Source organism: Homo sapiens, chromosome 20, assembly GCF_000001405.40.
Source record: "Homo sapiens chromosome 20, GRCh38.p14 Primary Assembly".
Classification (NCBI taxonomy): domain Eukaryota; kingdom Metazoa; phylum Chordata; class Mammalia; order Primates; family Hominidae; genus Homo; species Homo sapiens.
In genome coordinates, this window is record NC_000020.11 from 5,395,591 (window position 1) to 5,416,003 (window position 20,413).

A 20,413-nucleotide genomic window follows, 5' to 3' on the forward strand; every position below is an offset into this window, starting at 1 on the left:
AGCTTTCTGCACAACAAAAGAAACTATCATCAGAGTGAACAGGCAACCTAGAGAACGGGAGAAAATTTTTGCCATCTATTCATCTGACAAAGGGCTAATATCCAGAATCTACAAGGAACTTAAACAAATTTACGAGAAAAAAAACAAATAACCCCATCAAAAAGTGGGCAAAGGATATGAACAGATACTTCTCAGAAGAAGACATTTATGTGGCCAACAAATGTATGAAAAGGCTTATCATCATTGGTCATTAGAGAAATGTAAATCAAAACCACCATGAGATACCATCTCACACCATTTAGAATGGCGATTATTGAAAGGTGGAGTGTCTTAAGCTACCGTCCTGACCACTGGTTTTGAACCAAAGAGCCAACGGAGAAATCTTCGGATAAGAGTATAATTTAAAATCAGTAATAGTGCAACTTTCCTACAACAGCCTCCTCTCTCCATCTTCTTTGCCCCCATGACCATCTCATCATTCCAGCAACCGAGACCACAAAATATCTGCTCGCCAAGAATGCTGCCTGGGTCCAAGGCCAAACCAGCTGTCTGGGCAGGCAGGGAGAAGAGGCCTCCTGCTGGGCCACATGCTCTCTCAAAGAGAACACAAATAAGAATGCAGTGTTTACACACAAGGATCAAACTTCTGTTTTATGCTTTAAAATAGGAATTTGGGGGTATTACAAGATTAAATTTGGCTGTACATTTAGAATCGCTTGGGAGACCATGTAGGTTGAGGAAGAAGCATGATGAATGTAATGAAGATGATTTTATTTTTCAGGTTTTCTTCCCCGCATTGTGAAATCCGTGACACTTTCTGACATCTAAGTACTGGCTTAAAAGTTTTCCAATGCTCTATACATCTCTACAGCTTTGCTTCTGATCAAAGGTGAAAAAAGCCCAAAGCCTTGCCCCAAATGTCACCTTTTTGGGTGTTCTCTGGCTGTGACTCTCCTGTGAGTAACACAGTTTGGAATCGACTTGAATATTTATATGTCACCAAATTGATGACACACATGGCCTCTCTCTCCACAGGTGTCCAACAGGAATGGAAAATTTTTTGTGTGCGACTTCCTCTCTCTTTTGCCTTTCCCTCTTATTCATATTCTTCCCCTTCCAGAAAAAAAAAAAACAAAAAACACTAAGTTTCTTAGATCTTACCAATTTTGCAGCTTCTGGTGGCCTCTGATATGAATTAGAGGCAACTGATTTCTGCCAGGTAAATGAACTCAAAGTCTCTAAGCGGAAAGGAAAGGCTGATGGATATGTGGCATTTCCACTCCAGAGAGAAATCTTTCCCCCTTTTTCAAGAACCTAAAACTCACATATAGCTCACGTTGCTAGAGGTAGTTGCTTGTTGGAAACCCTCAGCAGATCTAAATGATGGATTTCATTACCCACATCCCTAATTATGTTACAAAGTTCTCCCTCAATACCTTGGTATGGTAAAGCTTTCTGACAAACCACTCCTTCCTAATGTATATTTTTCCCCTGGCTGGGGAGAGAGGGTGGAGAAGAAGATGGGCAAGAAGGTGGTCTCACCATGTATAGAATGTCTTTTCATTTTATGCAGCCATGGCATTGCTCTCTCATCTCTAAACAATTGGCTCCCAACCTGGCCACACAACTGAAACCACTTAGGGAACCTATAGGAATCCTGGTGCTCAGGCTGTACCCTAAACCTTTTGCAACTCAGTGTTTGTGATGGCACCCAGGCATCAGTAGTTTTTTGATGACAGTAGTTTTAAAATCTGGCTGCACATTTAGAATATCTCGGGAAGCTTTAGAAAATACTGATACTTGCTCCTACTCCCAGAGATTCTGATTAATGAATGGGTCTGCTGTGCAGCCTGAACACTAAGGATTTTGAAACCTCGCCAGATGAATCAAGTGCACAGCCAAGGTTGAAAACCAGTGCTCTAATCATTTTCTTCTTCCGCATTTTCCAGCTTGAGGGCCAAATAATTCCTTGCTGGTTAAAGGAAAAATTCCAGTGATTACTAGTTGATCTATTCATGTGACTCATTTTCATGATGATTCACTGCACTGAATATACAGGCAATATAGAATTTTTAGGCAGAAAGCCTATAGTTTATGACTTTATTCTACAAGTGCTCCCTCTCTTTGAGTTGCAGTCCACTGCTCTGAGTCATAATAAACCATAAATAACAACTAAGAACAATGGGTTACCTGAGCCACTGCTCCTATACTTTCATTTTTAATTGAATTCTAATAACTGGGTTGCTAGAGAAACTCAGATAATGCAACCTACCTGGACTTTCGTAAAAGAGCCTTGAAACTCTTGAAAATGTTTATGAAAAAAAAAAATCCCTCGTGTGTATGGGGTCACACGGATTGGCGAGGGAACAGCAGTCCAAAGACCAGGAATTAGAGATACTGTAAATGCACTTTGCTGTCTTCACATCCACGGAAGATAAAAGTATGTTAAAAATCAGAGGGGCTATTAAAATGATTTTTAAAAATATTACCTTAGAATGTCTATTAGAAGTTGAGGATGAAATTTAAGATCTTTTCTAGTCCTAGGATTCTATGTTTCTACACGACAGTTTGTTATAATCATATCCATAGTAAAAAAAAATGTTTAAGAAAAACATTAGACCTAGGAAGTTTACAGATTCAATTTAGTGAGACACTTATGTATATAATACAACATATTCAAGGATGCATATGTATGTAGAAAAATATACTGAGAAATGAGGATGTATCTTTATGTTGTCTCTGACTACACATTATAAAGGCAAAGTCAATAAGAAGAATCTTTTAAACTTGAAGTGGTGGATTAGACTTCAGATTGCTAATTTTTAAATTCTGTAATTTCAGACAAGTCCATGTATGCTCACAACTCTTTCACTGTTATTAACAAAGACTTATTTACTATTGAAACAAGATATAGGTCATGCGTTAAACAGGAAATATTAGGGATGACTTCTGCCTTAACACTTCCTCAACTAAGAGTCGTTTCAAGAAGTAACATGGTTAACACGTCTGCCTGTGCATTGTGCTGGAATGGATAATATGTCTTCTTTCCCTTTGCTGTCCCTGAATACTCTTGGGTGAATATGTTAAGTAACTAAAAAGGAAGGACTGGGAAATAAGACTGAGTTACAAAGGCATGGAGAATATTGAGGGATCAATTATACCTGCTGCATACTCACCAAATGACTGTAGACCTAAAAAGAGGGAATCTCATATGTCCAGCCTTCTTTAAACATTTCATTAGTTCAGTTTGGGAACCAGTCTATATAGACACCTACATTGTGGGTCAAGTCAATTAGAGTGTAGGATATGAGATGACTTCCCTTCAGGTCTCATCAAATTGGCTTATTGCAATGAGCAAAACAGGAAAGTGGTGGCCATAAGCTTGTGTGACTGTCCCACATTCCAGTGCCCCCACTATGTAGGGAAGTCTTTGCAAGGATCTATCACTGTATGGATTAACAGTCAGGACAGAGTCACTAAAGTCTAAAGTGAACTGTATAAAACCAGGACCATGGCCCCTCATTCACAGTGGAATGAGGACAACACCTAGGACAGTAGGTGCTTCCTAAATATATGATGTATTAGTGTTCAGTAGATACCATTTCTCATTTCTCATTCTCTTGGTCATCCATCACTCTCTAGGCAGGCTCAGGGTTGCTTGAGAAAGTTGGCGCCAATTGCACCCCAAGGAGAAAGAGACTCGGATGATGGTATTGACTTTCTTCCTCAATAACCACCTGGCCTTAATGAAGCCGTCTGAACTCTGTGCTCAGCTTTCTTCTCTGGACACTTACACACAATCTTCTCCCTTCTGTCCACCTTACAAAGGTATTTTAACAATCAAATGGATAAAAGAAATATGAAAGCACTCAATGACATCCATCTTGGTATACATGGATTCTTGTTTGTAGCAGGCCCTCACAATGCTTTTAACAGTGAATAAGGTAACCTCAAAACCCTTGTCTTCAGCCTGTATTGTACTAGCCTTGCTTTTTTTTTCCTCCGAGTCCAATTTAAGGTGAGATAATTACCTGGCAGGGGAGATACCCTGATTACGATTTAGAGTGAGATGAGCCAAAGGCCATGGACAGCCTCACATTTTTATTACTACGGTTTCTACAGCATCTCCTCTATGATGTTATTATAGATGCATATTCACTGACATGCCCCACCTTCCTATGTCTCCAACGCATGGAGCATCCCTATTTCCATGCCTTTGCCCAGACTCTTCCCCTCATTTAGAGGGCCTTTCCCTCCCTTTCCAGCATAACCAAAGTTTATGTGTCCTACAAACTTCCTCTTTCAAGCCTTCCCCAACATTGGTCTCTCTCTCTCTCCTCAGAATGCCAATGCTATTCTATATAATTATCATTTTAGTGTGTGATTTTCTTGTGCATCCAACTAGATTGTAAGCTCCACGAGGATGAAGACCATTTCTTATTCTTTCTTGGAGCCTGCCCAGTGAGAATTACACAGTTATTCATTATGTGGAAATTGTAATCTTCCAGCTTATAGTACAGTCTAGTTTGCATATTTACCTAGTTTACATCCATGATAATTTTGCAGAGTGATGAGCTGTATGTATAATCCCCCAAGTAAGCCCTAAGGTGAGGGAACAAGTTAACTTGTGCCAGCAAAGAAAAAAAAATCAAGGAAAGAATATAGTTGAACAATTATGCTTCTTAGTGTACCCCAAGGGTATAGATATGATCCTCCAAAGAGTTGTCCAGCACCCTTAATGTCACTGGTTTACTTGATGAGAGTCCTGACTGGAGCTGTCCTCAGCTGTGGTGCTGAAAGGTTAACTTTCTAGAAACACTGGATAGCCTGAACCATGAACAAAAACAGCTACTGGGAGAGGGGTGGGTCTTTTCCTAAGTGATCTTCAGGCCCCTCAAACTTTGCAGTCTCAAATGAAATTCATTTTCTTTCAGACGCCCTTTTCTTCCTCTTATATTCCCTAAGTCTTGGCATCCCTACTTCCTAAATAGCTTTTAAAACCAATTTCTCCTCTCCATTCTCATTGCCACTGCAACAATTTCCCTAACTATTTTCTCTCAGATGTCTTGCTACTCAGTGTCTGCAATTATCAACTTCCACCCCTGATGCATACAGAACTTAATTCAAGGTCATTAAAGTGGGCAACAGGTAGAGTTTAACTCTGCCAGTTAAACTATAAATAGCAACCCAAAATGGATGAGAACGATATATATGAAAAGCTCCTTAGAGATAAAATAGTTCCAGGGCCAGAAACAGGAAAAGTGAAAAAAGCCTGTCTGTGTGAGCCAAACCAAGTCCAGGCAGAGAAAAGATCATGTTCCTGTTTAAAGAAGTTTGTGAAGAATATGTGTTGTTCACAAAGGGGAGAGCCATCAGTAGCTGGGAAGAACGTGAGTTTGCAACAAGGAAGAACTGGCAATGTCCATGTGAGCATTGCTCAGGGAGGTTTGCCCCAAATGCAACTCTGTTAGATCAATGTAATGTGCTAGCTGTTCTCAATTGGCCCCTCCATTCCTTCTCTGGTCTTGGGAGGCTGGCACGAATAAACTGCATCCATGGGTTCCCTTGCCATGTGGCTTTGCATTGGCTTTAGTTAATGGAAAACACAGCAGGAGATAAAAGGGGGAGATGAGAGTCAGTTTGGACTATTGATACCTCCTGCTCCATTCCATGCTGGCTGTCCTGACTTAAGGCCGCAGCTTCTTCACTATGGTTTCTCCTACAGCTCTCTTTCTCTGATTTCCAGTTGCCACTCTTTCCCTCACTTCTTCTGACCTAGTGGTAGTAATAGTGTACTGAACTGTCCCCATAGTTATCCAATTTGAGTGTGCCATCTGTTTCCTGCTGGGACCCTGATCGGGGCTTGATATCATTAAGCATTCAAATCCCAACTCCCTTGTTTCAAATCTTATCCTCTCTCAGCATTATTCTGTTCATAAATTGGTTTCATATGTAAATCCATGTACAGAGAGAGAATGTACTGGTTGTGTTGACACAAGCATTCTTTTCTGCCTGACATGTTTATTTCTCCTTGTTAATTAAGAAACTGGCATTCTGATTTTATCCCTTCATATTAAATTAGCTTTGTTAGTGCAAGTCAGCCTGTCTGGGATTAATTCTGAGGTGTTGCCAAAACTGAGGATTTGGGCTTAATTCACTTAGATGCTATTACCCTTGAAGGCCTCTAGGGACCATCCATTCCCACCCCCCCCCCACCAGCCCCCCACAAGCTACTTGGAACTTCTGGCCAAGGACTTATAGCTCAAAGTACTTATAGTTTCTCAACCATGTTATACTTTCATGCCTCTGGGCTTTTATCCAAACTGTTATGTCTTTCTCTGAAATCCACTCTTTCAAAACACTGTTTAGGCATAATTTCTTCTGTGAAACCTTCTTAATCTTTTTCAGAAATAATTCTCTTTAGTGGCTATTCATTGAGCACCCTTTACTAGAAATTCTGAGATGTCCTGGAGACATGCAAGGTGGCTCAGACATTGATGCTTTTCAGTTTCATACTTGAGACAAAGTGATAAAAAAAAAAAACCTATATAAATGACATTGTATTAGACAATTCTTGTATTGCTATAAAGAAATACCTGAGACTGGGTAATTTATAAAGGAAAAAGTTTTAATTGGATCATAGCTCTGCAGAAGAAGCATGCTGCTAGCATCTGCTTGGCTTCTAGGGTGGCCTCAGGAAGCTTACAATTCTGGCAGAAGGTGAAGAGAGAGCAGGCATGTCACATGGCCAGAGGAGCAAGCAAGAGAGAAAGCGGTGGTTGAGTTGGTGGGTACCATGCACTTTTAAATGGCCAAATCTCATGAGAGCTTCCTCACTATCATGAAGACAGCACCAAGCCCCCATGACCCAAAGACCTCCCACCAGGCCCCAGCTCCACCTTTGGAGATTGCAATTCAACATGAGATTTGGGTGGGGACAAATATCAAAACTATACCATTCTGCCCCAGGCCCTTTCCAAATTTCATGTCCTTCTCACATCAAAGAATACAATCATGCTTCCCAACAGTCCTCTAAAGTCTTAACTTGTTCCAGCATTAACTCCAAAGCCCGAAGTCTCATCTGAGACAAGGCAAGTCCTTTTCACCTACGATCCTGTAAGATAAAAAAGTTAGTTACTCCCAAGATACAAAGGGGGTATAGGTATTGGGTAAACATGCTCATTTCCAAAAGAGAGAAGTTAGTCAAAAGAAACGGGCTACAGGCCCCATGAAAGTTCAAGGCCCAGCAGTGCAGTCATTAAATATTAAAACTTCAAAATAATCTCCTTTGACTGCATATCCCACATCTAAGGCACACTGGTGCAAAAGGTGGGCTCCCAGGGTCTTGGGCAGCTCTGCCTCTGTAGCTTTGCAGGCTTCAGCCCCCACAGGTGTTCTCACAGGTTTTTGAGTGCCTGAAGCTTTTCTAGGTGCAGAGTACAAGTTGCCAGTGGATCTACCATTCCGGAGTCTGGACAGCAGTAGAGCTAGTCCCCACTAGAGGGCAGTGGAGTAGAGAGCCCACTGGGGCACTGCCTAGTGGAATCCCGTTTTCACAGCTCCTCTAGGCAGTGCCCCAGTGGGGACTCTGTGTGTGGGCTCCAATCCCACATTTCCACTCCACACTGTCCTAGTAGAGGTTCTCTGTGGGAGGTCCACAGCAGGCGTCTCCCTGGGCACCCAGGATTTCTCACAACCTCTGAAAATAGGTGGAGGCTGCCAAGCATTCACTCTTGCACTCTGCTCACCCACAGGCTTAACACCACATGGAAGCTGCCAAGGCTTATGGTTTGCATTCTCCAAAGTGGCAGCTTGAGCTCTGCCTGGGCTCCTTTGATCCACAGCTGGAGCTGGAGCTGGAGTGGCTGGAAAGTGAGGAGCAGTGTCCTGGGGCTGTGCAGAAAAGTGGGGCCCCAGGCCTGACTCACTAAACAATTCTTCTCTCCTTGGCTTCTGGGTCTGTGATAGGAGGGGCTGCCTCTTAGGTCTCTGAAATGCCTTTGAGATCTTTCTAGTTTTCTTGGATATTAGCACTTGGCTCCCTTTTAGTTATGCAAGTATTTCCTCTAGTAAGTGGTTGCTGCCAGCTTGAATTCCTCTCTCAAAAAAAGATATTTTCTTTCTCTGCCACATGGCCAGGCTAAAAATTTTCCAAACTTTTAGTTCTGCTTCTTTTTTAAATATAAATTCCAACTTTAGTTCATTTCTTTGCTCTTGCATCTGAGCATAGGCTCAGCCAGGCCAAATCTTGAATGCTTTGCTGCTTAGAAATGTCTTCCACCTTTGACAGACTGCCCATGTATGCCGCCAGATACCCTAAATCATCACTCTTTAGTTCAAACTTTCACAGATCCCTAGGGCATGGACACAATATGGCCATGTTCTTTCCTAAGGCATAACAAGTGTGTCATTTGCTCTAATTTCCAATAAGTTCCTCATTTCCATCTGAGACCTTGTCAGCCCAGACTTCACTGTCCATATCATTACCAGCATTTTGGTCACAACTGTCTAGTCAGTCTCTGAGAAGGTCCAAACTTTCCCTCATTCTCCTGTTTTCTTCTGAGCCTTCCAAATCCTTCCAACTTCCGCCAATTATCCAGTTCCAAAGTCACTTCCACGTCTTCAGGCATCTTTATAGCAATGCCTTACTCCTCAGTACCAATTTTATGTATTAGGCTATTCTTGAATTGCTATATAGAAATGTATAATATATAAGGTATATTATAATTTGTATGCTTTATAAATTACAATAATTATATAATAAATTTATAATATAAATTTATATTTATAAATATAATTTATAATGAAAAGAGGTTTAGTTGGCTCATAGTTCTGCTGGCTTTATAGGAAGCATGGTGCTGGCATCTGCTCAGCTTTTAGGGAAGCCTCAGGACGCTTACAATCATGATTGAAGGTGAAGGAGGAGCAGGCATGTCACATGGTGAAAGCAGAAGCAAGAGAGAGAGAAAGAGAGAGAGTTGGGGAAGAGGTGCCACACACTTTTAAATGACCAGATCTTGTGAGAGCTTACTATTATGAAGATTGCACCAAGCCATGAGAGATCCACCCCCATGACCCAAACACCTCCCACCAGGCCCCACCTCCAGCATTGGGGATTACAATTCAACATGAGATTTGAGTGGGGACAAATATCCAAACAATATCAGACATGGAAAGACAGAAGCATGCATAGGATGCTATGGAGACAGGAGGGTGGGGGCAGTAGGTGGGCAAGTGTCAGGGGGGAAGGCGATCTGTAAGAGATGGCATGTGACTTCAGCTGTGAATGACTGACTGGGACAGCAAAGATCACAAAGAATGAAGGGCCCTCTGGGGTTTCAGGGCAAATTATCTGGAGTCCATTAAACTAGTAACCACCCTTTGAGTGGCTCCTTATGCAGGGGTGGCCATGTCTAGAACATTGACCCTCTCACTGTGGCCCAAGCTGTTTGGAGCAGGACTAGGTACCAGATCAGATGGCAGCCACTCAACAGGCTGGCCAGTGACCTATGAGCAGCCTGGCACTGGTGCAGCTGTGTTGTATAAATGAACCAAAGAGGGCCTCTGTGTTTTGGCCTCTAGGCTATTTCTTCATAGCAGGCTGAGACTTGTTGGCTAAAAGGCTACAGGCATCAAACTCAAAACCATTTAGAGCCCACTGTCTTTGCCAACCCTGTGAAAGTACACCCAGTATCTGCTGGCCATTGATAAGATAAGAGTCTTACGGTTTTAAGACCCTAAGCCACCCCTGCCCCTCGGAGCTCTCTGACCCAGAGACTCCCCGCTGTGCCTCACCTAGTCACATAAGCCCCACTCTGATCCCTTTCTCCCCTGGGAGTTCCCTTGACCTCCTCCTCTTCTAGAAGCTTCTGGACAGTGTCATACTGTAAGGGACTTCCTCTCTCACCCAACCCTGTTCAAGCGCCAACCAATAAATCTTCTGTGTTACTGTTTCTTATGATCATGTCTTTTCCCTTAATCACTAGAGAAGAAGAAGATAGTAGAGAGTTCCCAAATGACTTTTTAGATCCTGAACCACATTCTGGTCTCCACAAGAGGCTGTGTCTTGGTTCCCATCCCACCCTGAGGACATGCCACTCCATGTAAATTCCATTCTGATAGACAATAACCCCTTTCCTAAGGCAGTCCTAGTGTGTCTTTATTCTTTGCATCTAAAAGAGCCTGCTCCCACACAGGCCATAGGAAGAACACGAGAGGTCTGGAGTAGGAGACTGTGTGGTGTTTCAGGGAACCTCAGGCAATTTGATATTTCTGGAAAAGATGATGCCAGTTGGAGGTTTGGTGGAAATGACACTGCAGAGGTGAATGGGGTCAGGTCACAAAGTCCGTGTGTGCATTCCGCTGAGAGTCCCAGGCTTCATCCTGCAGGGAGACACTGAGGTTTTAAAGGCAGTAGAAATGGGTTGGACTTAGCATATTCATTAGGTCACTTTAGCAACAAAGTAGAAGGAGTTTGAGACGAGCAAGAAACAAGTGGAGAGGAAGTGAGGAGAGAATAGATGGAATGGAGAGGAGGGGATATATTCAATAAATACTTAAGAAATAAAAGCAACAAGAGTTGGCGACATTGCTTTGGGGTTGACAGAAAGATGCACAAATCTGTGATGAATGATTCCTGTTTTTCAGATTTTGGCATGGGATGAATGGGGTGACTTAGATTGTTGTAGAAGAGCAAATTGGAGCAGGGAAGAGAGGAGGAAGAGGAAGAAGATGTGTTTGAGGAATGCACAGGACATCCATGTAGAGAAACCTGTGGACAGTTGGCTCCATGCATCAGAACTTCAGGGTGAGTCCTAAGTCTCATCTCGGCAGCATCCATCATCACTCAGACTCATCCTGTGCTGCTGATTTCATCCTGTAAGATGGACTGGACTGGTCCTTCATCCCAAAGCCTTGCTCTATGTACTCTGGAAGGCCAGCAAAGTTTCCTGTATCATCAACACCTTCTCAAAACATGCCTCTTCCTTCTGGACTTAGATGGGCCCTCCTGTAGGGCCCCCTTTCCCTCATAGCTCTCTCAAGTGGAGGCTGTTTTTAATTTATTTATTTTTCCTGTATCCAGCACAAGTTCTTTGGGGTCAGGAAGTGGGGTCTGTGTTTTTAATTACGATTTCCACATTCCAGTCATTTTTCCTGTAAGCCCCAGTGTCTCTGAGGATTATTCCGTCTGTCCCGCTTCCCCTCTTCCTCATTGTTGTAATTCACCAACATCCTCAACACTTTCTGTCATTCACCAAAGAAGGGAGCTCCTGTTTTCAGTCTTCTCCTGTCAACATTAGCTTCATTCTGAATGATTTTCTTGTCCATATGGAGGAATCATCGACCACTGTGGATCCTCATTTTCTTGACTTACTCATCTCCAAAGACTTCTCCATTTCAACTCGCACGTCCATTCCTACAGTCAAACCCTACATCAAAAGTTCTGAAATGGCAATTTCAAACATCCCACTCTCCAACCACCACTTCCTGTCAAGTACTCCACTGAAACTATCTTTTGACTTTATTGAAACCTTTCAACTTTTAGTCTTCATTGCTTACCATTGTCTAGAGCTACTGCATATTTATTCAGGTCATAGGCTTTGGAATTAGGATGCCAGGTTAATTTGTTGGGGGAGGCCACCAAGATGTGGATATATCATTTAAAAAATAAATCTAGGTTCCAGAATTCATCTTGGTGGTTGGGAAATGTGAGTGTGGGCTCTGCAGAGAAATGGGCATCAATAGGTTGTTTTTACCATAGCCATGGAAGGAAAGCAGGAGAAGTGCTGGAATCCATCCCTCACATATTTCCCTCACCACTTATCATCTGTCTGCAGTGCCGTTTGGCTCAGTCACTTAGCACTTAATCAGGTACTCTTTAATTTTTCACATCTGTCTGTCTGGAGCCTAGAATGTGGTCATAGAAAGCTCTTTGGGTCTGTATTCAAAACAATGGAATTCAGACACAACTTACTTCCTGTAAGGTCTTGAGCAGGTCATTTAACTGCACCTGAAAATGAAAATAACTGTCCCCACCTCAACCAGTTGTTGTAAGGATTAATGAGATAATAGATATAAAAGCATTTGATAAGCTTTAAAATGTTTTAAGAACATAAGGTCTACTATCTTCCAGTGATAATTGAGAATAGTAATTGTGTGTTCCTTGTTTGCTTCATTAGGCAAGGTGATCAAAAATATTTGTCAAATGAATGCATAAATTAATGAATGAATGAGAAGTGAGTGAGTGAATGGACAAGTGAAAAAATCAATAAATGCCTAAATGCAATCTAAGTCTCAGGCATTTTGATCGCAGGCTCACAAGGAGAATTGGCTGTCTGATCAGGTAAACACTTGTTAATATTACTCATTAATTGTTCACTTAATTTGACAAACAGATTCACTGCCTACCACATATCTGGTAGTATGTGTTCCTAATTACTGTCTCATCCAAAACTCACAGTGTCTGTGTAAAGAAGTTCTTTTGAATTTCATACTACAGACGGGAAATCAGAAGCACAGAGAAGTTAAGTAACCTTCCAAAGTTCACACAAGTAGTAACTTATAGAGCTTGGAATACAGACAAAAGGTGCCCCCAAGAGAATGAAATGGAGGGAATGATAGTTCCAATAGACAGTTCTTCACTGTGAGTTGGGGTGAGAGGGGTGGGCTTTTATACCTCTGCATCCACTAGTCATTGGATGTTGGATGTCCTAGGGAGGCAGCTTCCCTGGGAGGAACTCAGCACCTGGATGATCGAGTGCCTCCATTCTGAAGGTGGATCTGGGCAGCAAAGCACAGCATATACCATGTTATTAATGCTTCTAAAGAGTGTGTTAGCCAGCCTGGGTAGATTCAGTCAAATAAAGACGGATTGTGGAGAAAGCAGAACCCCAGAGACAAGGGTATCCATGGAAGATCTGCGCAGCCCATCACCCAGATCCTCTTCTAGGGATGGCTGCAGGGGCAATCCCAGCCTGGTGCCAGGAAGCCTTCCTGTTATCCAGATCAAACTTCTTGCTCTTGGCCCAAGCTCCTCAGGAGGTATTTGGACTTCCCATACCTCTTGGCTACAGAGAACAAATGAATGCAGTGGCATTCTGCCCTGAGAGGTCAGCCCCCGTCGTCTTAGTTAGCGTGAGTCCCATTCCCAAGTCCCATCACCTCTGGGACAATGAGAAGATCAAATTTCTGAGCTGACAGCAAGGAAATGGCCCCTCATGGAAAGCTGTCTGAGAGGCCAACAGACTTTTCCCAGACCAATACCATAGTCATAATCATTCTTAGTGAACTCAGACCCTGTAGTGGAGCCAACCAGGCAGATAACAGGGATTATAGGGAATTCCCGGGAAAGAGGGGTCCAGACAAAGACATAGCCAAGAAATGACAATGAAAATCCATATGGACTGGGATGTCACTGAGTGGGCAGGTGTCTCAGTGGTTGAGGTCAGCATGGTAGCCTTTGAGGGTGTCTAAGTGGGAAAATAAACCCAAAGTGTTTTTCCATTCTCTCACTCAACAACAATCAACACAGAAGACTTCTGTGACCAAATGTGTGGATTCTTTCCCCATTCAGTAAGCAACCAATTCTGCAGTAGACACTGGCTGAATTTCCTCTGATTCAATTCTGACACTATCTACCTGGAAATAGCATCACATCCCACAGGTTGAGGGCTCAGTTCTACAAAACTGCCTTCCACTTCCAATGCCAACAGCAAGCCCCAGGCTGTTTTTACCTGTGCCTGTGACTGACTGGCTATAAATCATGGTTCTCACCACCCCTACCCTCTCCTTGGCTTCAATTCATTTGCTAGAGCAGCTCACGGAACTCAGGGAAATACCAGATTTTTAAGATACAGATGAAGAGATGCATAGGGAGGGTGATAGGAGAGGTGCAGGGCTTCCATGCCCTCCAGATAGAGCTTGTAGGACCCCACCAGGAACTTCCATATGTTCAGCTATCTGGAAGCTCCTGAAACCCCATCCTTTAGGGTTTTAATGGAAGCTTCATTACATAGGCATGATTGATTAAACCATTGGCCATTGGTGATCAACTTAACCTTCAGTTCCTCTTCCCTCCCCAGAGGTTTGGGATTCCCATACAGCTGAAAATTCAAGCTCTCTAACCCTGCTTTGGTTTCCCAGTGACCAGTGACCAACCCCACCCTGAATCTATGTTAGGGGCTGCCAGCCACCAGTCAATCATTAGCATACAAAAACCATCACTTTGGGGAGATTCGAAGGATTTTAGGAGTTGTATGCCAGAAAAGGAGGTTGAAGACCAAATATGTGTTTTACAATATCACGCTGTGTCAGCGTGGAACTGAGCATTAAAAGATGAAGGAGCTTGAGTTTTTAATGGGGCAGGACCAAATAAGGAAAAGTAGGCACATTTATTTTGAAGGGATTAACCAATCTTATTCTGTGTTTTAGAAACAGTCTAATGCAAGAAACCAAAACGCAACTGAGCTCATTTAAATAAAGAAATGTCAGGCTGGGCGCCATGGGGCTCATGCCTGTAATCCTAGCACTTTGGGAGGCCGAGGTGGGTGGATCACCCAAGGTCAGGAGTTTGAGACTAGCCTGGCCAACATGGTGAAACCCCATCTCTACTACAAAGTACAAAATTAGCCGGGCGTGGTAATGTGCACCTGTAATCCCAGCTACTCAGGAGGCTGAGGCAGGAGAATCTCTTGATCCTGGGAGGCAGAGGTTGCAGTGACACTGAAAGAGGAAGGAGGTTGCATAAACACATCAAAGCCATTTCTTTATAAGTGATTTGAGGTCAGTGATTTTTGCTAATACTTGTGGGAGCATAATGAAGCAAAAGCATGATTAACTTGCTGATATTCAATGACTCTTCACTGAAGCTCAAGTTTATATGCATTTATGAAAGAGTCATGAACACTTTTCCTTATTTTATTTTATTTTTATTTTTGCAGACCTCTGGAGAGCAGATTAGGATATCAAAGTGTAACAGAAAGCAGAAAAAAGTTTAACTGAAAGATGAAAAACTTTAGATGCATTAGTGCTATGGCAAACAGCCAGATCACTCCAATTATGTCCCTAATTGGGTCCATAAATAATTTATAACCCACCATTTGTGTCTGGGGCAAAGGATTTCTAACAGTAAATGCTTAAGTAGTGGTTAGAGGGACCTAATGATTTCCAATTCTGAACTCATCAGAACTCCTCTAGGCTGTGATTCCAACAGCCCTTCTTGAAGTAATTTGGTGGGGATTACTCAAGTATGGGGAGAAATTGTCTTCAGTGTCTAGGTGAAACAGACTGTCAGAGAAGTAATGAGCTCACCTCCCTTTGCTGCTAACCTTGCCACTGGCTTTCATTTAAGGTCAAGAGCCAAAGCCATGAAAATCAGAAATAAAAGGGGGAGCAAAGCTTCCAGAGGCCCTATGATTAGTAGTAGGATTTCTCTCATTTCTTCATGAGAAGCTGGAGGTAATTTCTACTGCCTAAGAGTCTGCACTAATTGTTTTAGGTATTTGTATGTTGCCTGTTAATTTTCACAGCTTCTCCACATCTTGTTTTTCTTTTAATGTTTTAGTTGAAGTATAATAACATATATACAGTACAGTGGATGAAGTGCACACATCTTAAGTACAGAGCTCAATGAGTGTTTTGCAGATGGGTTTTTTTCACGTAGCTAACACCCAGACTGAGATGTAAAACATTCCATATCCCCCAAAAGGTGCTTCTGTTCCTTCCCAGGGTGTGTGTCTCTTGGAGGAGAAACCCGGAGGATGAAGCAAAGCCCTTGAGGCTTGGCTACTTTAGGATTCATGTGCTGTCTGCTGCAAGAAGACATTGAACAAGTGAGAGCAACATCTCAGCATTTCTGAGCAGACCATTTAAAAACTCAAATGCAGCAGAGGGTGCTTGCGAGTGAGATCTGTGTGGGCCTGCAATAGGAGAAGGTCTTGTTCACTTCCTGCCAAAAGCAGTGAAGGTTTACAGGGCCCCTTCTTCTGTGTCCCCATCCAGGGAAGCCACAGCAGCTCTATCCGTGAGCTCCTTCAAAGGTTCTACAATCCCTGGAAGGTACTTGCATGACACAGGACAAGCAACAGACTGAAAGTTTGGTTTGGCCAAGGGACACCTGGAGGTCATCTGCTATTGGTCACTTCTGAAGAAGAATGAGGCTGAGGCTCCCTCAGAGGGCCTAATTTGTCAAGGCCGGTACCAGCAATGAACATGCCTGGCCGGGGTGGAAGCCCCAGTTTTCCTTTTACACATAGCTTTTAACCCCCAGGGGAGGGATAGCTGGTAGCTCATACTTGCTGTACATTTATTAAGTGCTGGGTACTACGATGAACACTTCACATCAATAGTCTCATTAATCTGTAACTTGCATTGACCAATTTCTCCATTTTAGAAATAATGAAACAGAGGGAAAGACACAGTTAGTAAAAGACGGCCTCAGACTCCAGACCCTGGCAATCCTGTTCCAGGGCCTCTGAGCTTCCCCACACTGCCCCCCACTCCCACTTCCCAGACAGAGCTTCTGGGGATCCCATGTACACTCAGCACCCGACACTCGCAGTGGCACTGGCCTCTGGGCTGGGAAAAGAAACACAATTCACTCGACTTATGATTTAATTAAATTTCTGAACCATGGCAGCAGATCTATACTTCATAAATTAAACCCTCATTTCCTAGAGGCAAAAAGTTATGAATTGGTGTTCTGTTCCTGGAAATTCATTTTATTTCGTAAAAACCTAAAAGTTGATCATGAAAATAAAACAAGATATACAACACGCACACATATACACACAGAGATTTATTAAGTAGAAAAAAACAAGTAATATGAAAACCAAATGTTATAAATGTTAAATTGGGTGGACTTTTCTGCAAGGGCTGGATGACTAGAGTGTCTTAAAACATGAGTTAAATGAGATTTAGATTGAAAATGCCTTCCACATTTTTGAGTAAAATTTCTAAGGAACAAAAATAGGCAATTTTCATTGTACCAAGGACTTTTGAAGTAAGGTGAAAATCGGGGGTACTGTTCTAAAAAATGTTCATGGCATGAAGGCACCTGAATCTCTGGGTAGTGTACTACTGCTTTGATCATTTCTTCTGCTCTGTTAAAAGTTGCCAAATGACTGTAAGTATGAGTTTGGTCATTACAGTGGGGGTCTTATGATGAGAAAGACTGTCATGATGGAGGGGATAGTTCCTGTGGTGGAAAGTCAGGGATTTGCCTGACTCTTAGCTCCATGGACACACTCACAAAGCCTCTATGGGCAGCCCCTCTGTCTCCATGCCCTACAGGGCCTCCACCTGGCCACCTCGTTGGGGGGGTGGGCATGGCACGGGGAAGGCTCTCAGGCAATAGGGCTAGAGGTGAGATAGGAATATACACAGGGTTGACGGCAGAATAATGAAAGGAAATTGAAGGAGTAATTCCCAACCAATGGCTATCTCATTTTTTATGGATTACCTGTGATGGTTAATTTTACGTGTCAACTCGACTGGGTCATGGGATGCCCAGATATTTAGCCAAACATTATTCTTGGTGTTTCTCTGAGGGTATTTTAGGATGAACTTCACTAAATTGATAGACTGAGTAAAGCAGATTGCCCTCTGATATGGTTTGGCTGTGTCCCCACCCAAAATCTCATCTTGAATTGTAATCCCCATAATCCCCATATGTCAAGGGACAGACTAGGTGGAGATAATGGAATAATGGGGGCGGTTTCCCCCATGCTGTTCTCATGATAGTGAGTTCTCACGAGATCTGATGGTTTTATAAGTGTTTGGTAGTTCCTCCTGCATTCATTCTCCTTCCTGCCGCCTTGTGAAGAAGGTGCCTTGCTTCCCCTTCACCTTCCACCATGATTATAAATTTCCTGAGGCCTCCTCAGCCATGCTGAGCTGTGCATCAATTAAGCCTCTTTCCTCTATAAATTACACAGTCTTGGGCAGTTCTTCATAGCAGTGTGAACATGGACTAATACACACTCCCTAATATGGGTGGGCCTCATTCAATCAGTTGACGGCCTGAGTAGGCTCAAAATCCTGACCCTCTCTTGGGTAAAAGGGAACTCCTCCTGCCTGACTGCCTTTGAGTTGGGACATTGGTTTTTTCCCTGCCTTCAAACTTGAACAAAAGTATCAACTTTTCCTGGGTCTCAAGCCTGCTGGCCTTTAGTCTCGGACTGGAATGACACCATCAGCTCTCCTGGGTCTCCAGCTTGCTGACTGCAGATCTTGGAATTTATTAGGATCAATAATTGCATAAGCCAGTTCCTTATACTAAATCTTTTTCTACATATGTATACAGCCTATTAGTTCTGTGTCTCTGGAGAACCCTAATACACTGCTTTAAGTAATCAGAACTGAAAAATAATCATTTTAAAGAAGTGATGGCTGCCCTTCTCATAGGAATTAACTGGCGATCTTGCTAAATGCAGGTCCTGATTCGGCAGGTCCGAGGTGCGGCCTGAGAATCTGCATTTCTAACCAGCTTCAAGGTGATGTCAATGGTGCTGGCCAGTGGACCAGCCCTTGAGTAACAAGGGCTTACAGATCAGTAGTCATGGACAAGTTTACTCTACTTTGTGTAGCCTCTGTCCCAGATAATGCTTCCTCTGGACTCCTATCTAGAAACACTTAATCTTGAGTCATCAGTACTTTTAATCTTGGTAATTTTATATTTGGTTGTATTAATTCATCAATTCAAATTTTAAGACTTCTATGAATCAAAATAGAATACAGTGTTTAAAAAGAGCTCTACTAAAATCTCAGGCTTGTGCAAGACGCCCTGTTTCCAGACTTTTCTTCAATTCCCCAATCCCTAGAAATGTCACTCTGACCATTTTCATTTTTTGCTCTTTGACTATACGGTTTTTTGTGACTGATAACAATCTGGGCATCAATTTGCCTCTTCTCTCATTGTTAATAAAAAAGTAATCCATGCTAGTGATTTTGTGTCATTTCTAATGTACGGGAAATTAGAAATAAATGAATGAGGTGCACAGTGTAGTTCAGATAAAATTCTCAGGTTGAAAAAACATGCTTATGGAAAATAAATGAATAAATATGATTTGGGCTGGATAGGGTGGTGGAAGATCAATCACGAGCTCACAGCTGGCTGAGATGGGACCCCAGAGTTAACAAGCCAGACGTGAGATGCTCGCTGCTCTGATTTCTCATCACAGAAACCTAAGGGAACAGCCACAGGCAGGAACTGACCTGCCCCTTCCCCAGTCCTGGATACACTCCCACCCCTGATATTTGTAGGGATTAGGGAAAGGATACAAATGGAGGTCCTTGAACCATTTGTCTAAATATTTGAAGTTATAAATCAAGGTAAAAAAGGTAAATAAAATGTTTTATCTTGTGTCATGACACATATATCTCTATGATCACCTATGAGACCAGGTTCAATGTCAGAATTCTTGAATTCCTTGGATTTCTGGGCCAGAACTTGGTGGTACCAAGATAGTGACCCATTGCCTGTGGCTCATGCCTACTCACTTTCTCTTCTACTTCCACCCCTAGCTACATTCTGTACCAAGAGGGACCTTTTTCCCATGGGTCTGGCTACCCCGCCCTGTGGTCCAAAGCCCTTCAAGCAGCATCCCTTGGCTACTCCTCTAGTTTAGGGGAGTGTACACCTCGGGTATGGTCTGCCCCTTGGGAGGATGGCCCCAGACATGAGGCCCCCAAAACCCACTCCATCTAGAAACACTTAATCTTAGGTCATCAGTACTTTTAGTCTTAGTAATTTTATATTTGGTCATACTAATGAGTCAATTCAATATTTTGATACTTTTATGAATCAAAATAGAATAAGGCTTTTAAGAAAGGGCTCTACTAAAATTCTCAGGCTTCTGCAAGATGCCCTTTCTCCAGACCTTTTCACCATTCTTTTATACCCAGAAGTCTCATTCTGTTCATCTTCATTCTTTGCTCTTTGACCTGCTCCACCACGGGATCAGGTGGAGCAACAAGGAAGGGAATGTCTATATTATCTGTATTAGTTTGTTCTTGCACTGCTATAAAGAAATACCTGAGACTGGGTAATTTATAAAGACAAGAGTGTGAATTGGCTCACAGTTCTGCAGGCTGTACAGGAAGCATAGCAGCTTCTGCTTCTGGGGAGGCCTCAGGAAGCTTCCGATCATGGTGGAAGGCAAAGGGGAAGCAGACACGTCTTACATGGCCAGAGCCTGAGAAAAAGGGTGGGGGGAGGTGCTACACACTTTTAAACAACAAGATCTTGTGAGAACTCACTCACTGTGCAGTACTAGCGGGGAATGGTGCTAAACCATTCATGAGAACTCTGTCCCCGTGATCCAATCACCTGTAACCAGTCCCCATATTCAACACTGGGGATTACAATTCAACATGAGATTTGGTGGGGACACAAATTCAAACCGTATCATCATTA

At 42.7% G+C, this 20,413-nt stretch overlaps 2 annotated features.

Annotated features, from left to right (window-relative positions):
- Positions 266-1,465: an enhancer, noted in NCBI's record as "P300/CBP strongly-dependent group 1 enhancer chr20:5376502-5377701 (GRCh37/hg19 assembly coordinates)". NCBI's record gives its function as "activates an origin of replication core promoter dependent on BRD2, BRD4, P300/CBP, MED14 and CDK7 cofactors, with strong dependence on P300/CBP, by STARR-seq in HCT116 cells {active_cell/tissue: HCT116}" and the evidence as "EXISTENCE:reporter gene assay evidence [ECO:0000049][PMID:35650434]".
- Positions 4,592-4,892: a silencer, noted in NCBI's record as "silencer 4 fragment used in repoter construct". NCBI's record gives its function as "represses an SCP1 promoter by reporter assays in K562 erythroleukemia cells {active_cell/tissue: K562}" and the evidence as "EXISTENCE:reporter gene assay evidence [ECO:0000049][PMID:32103011]".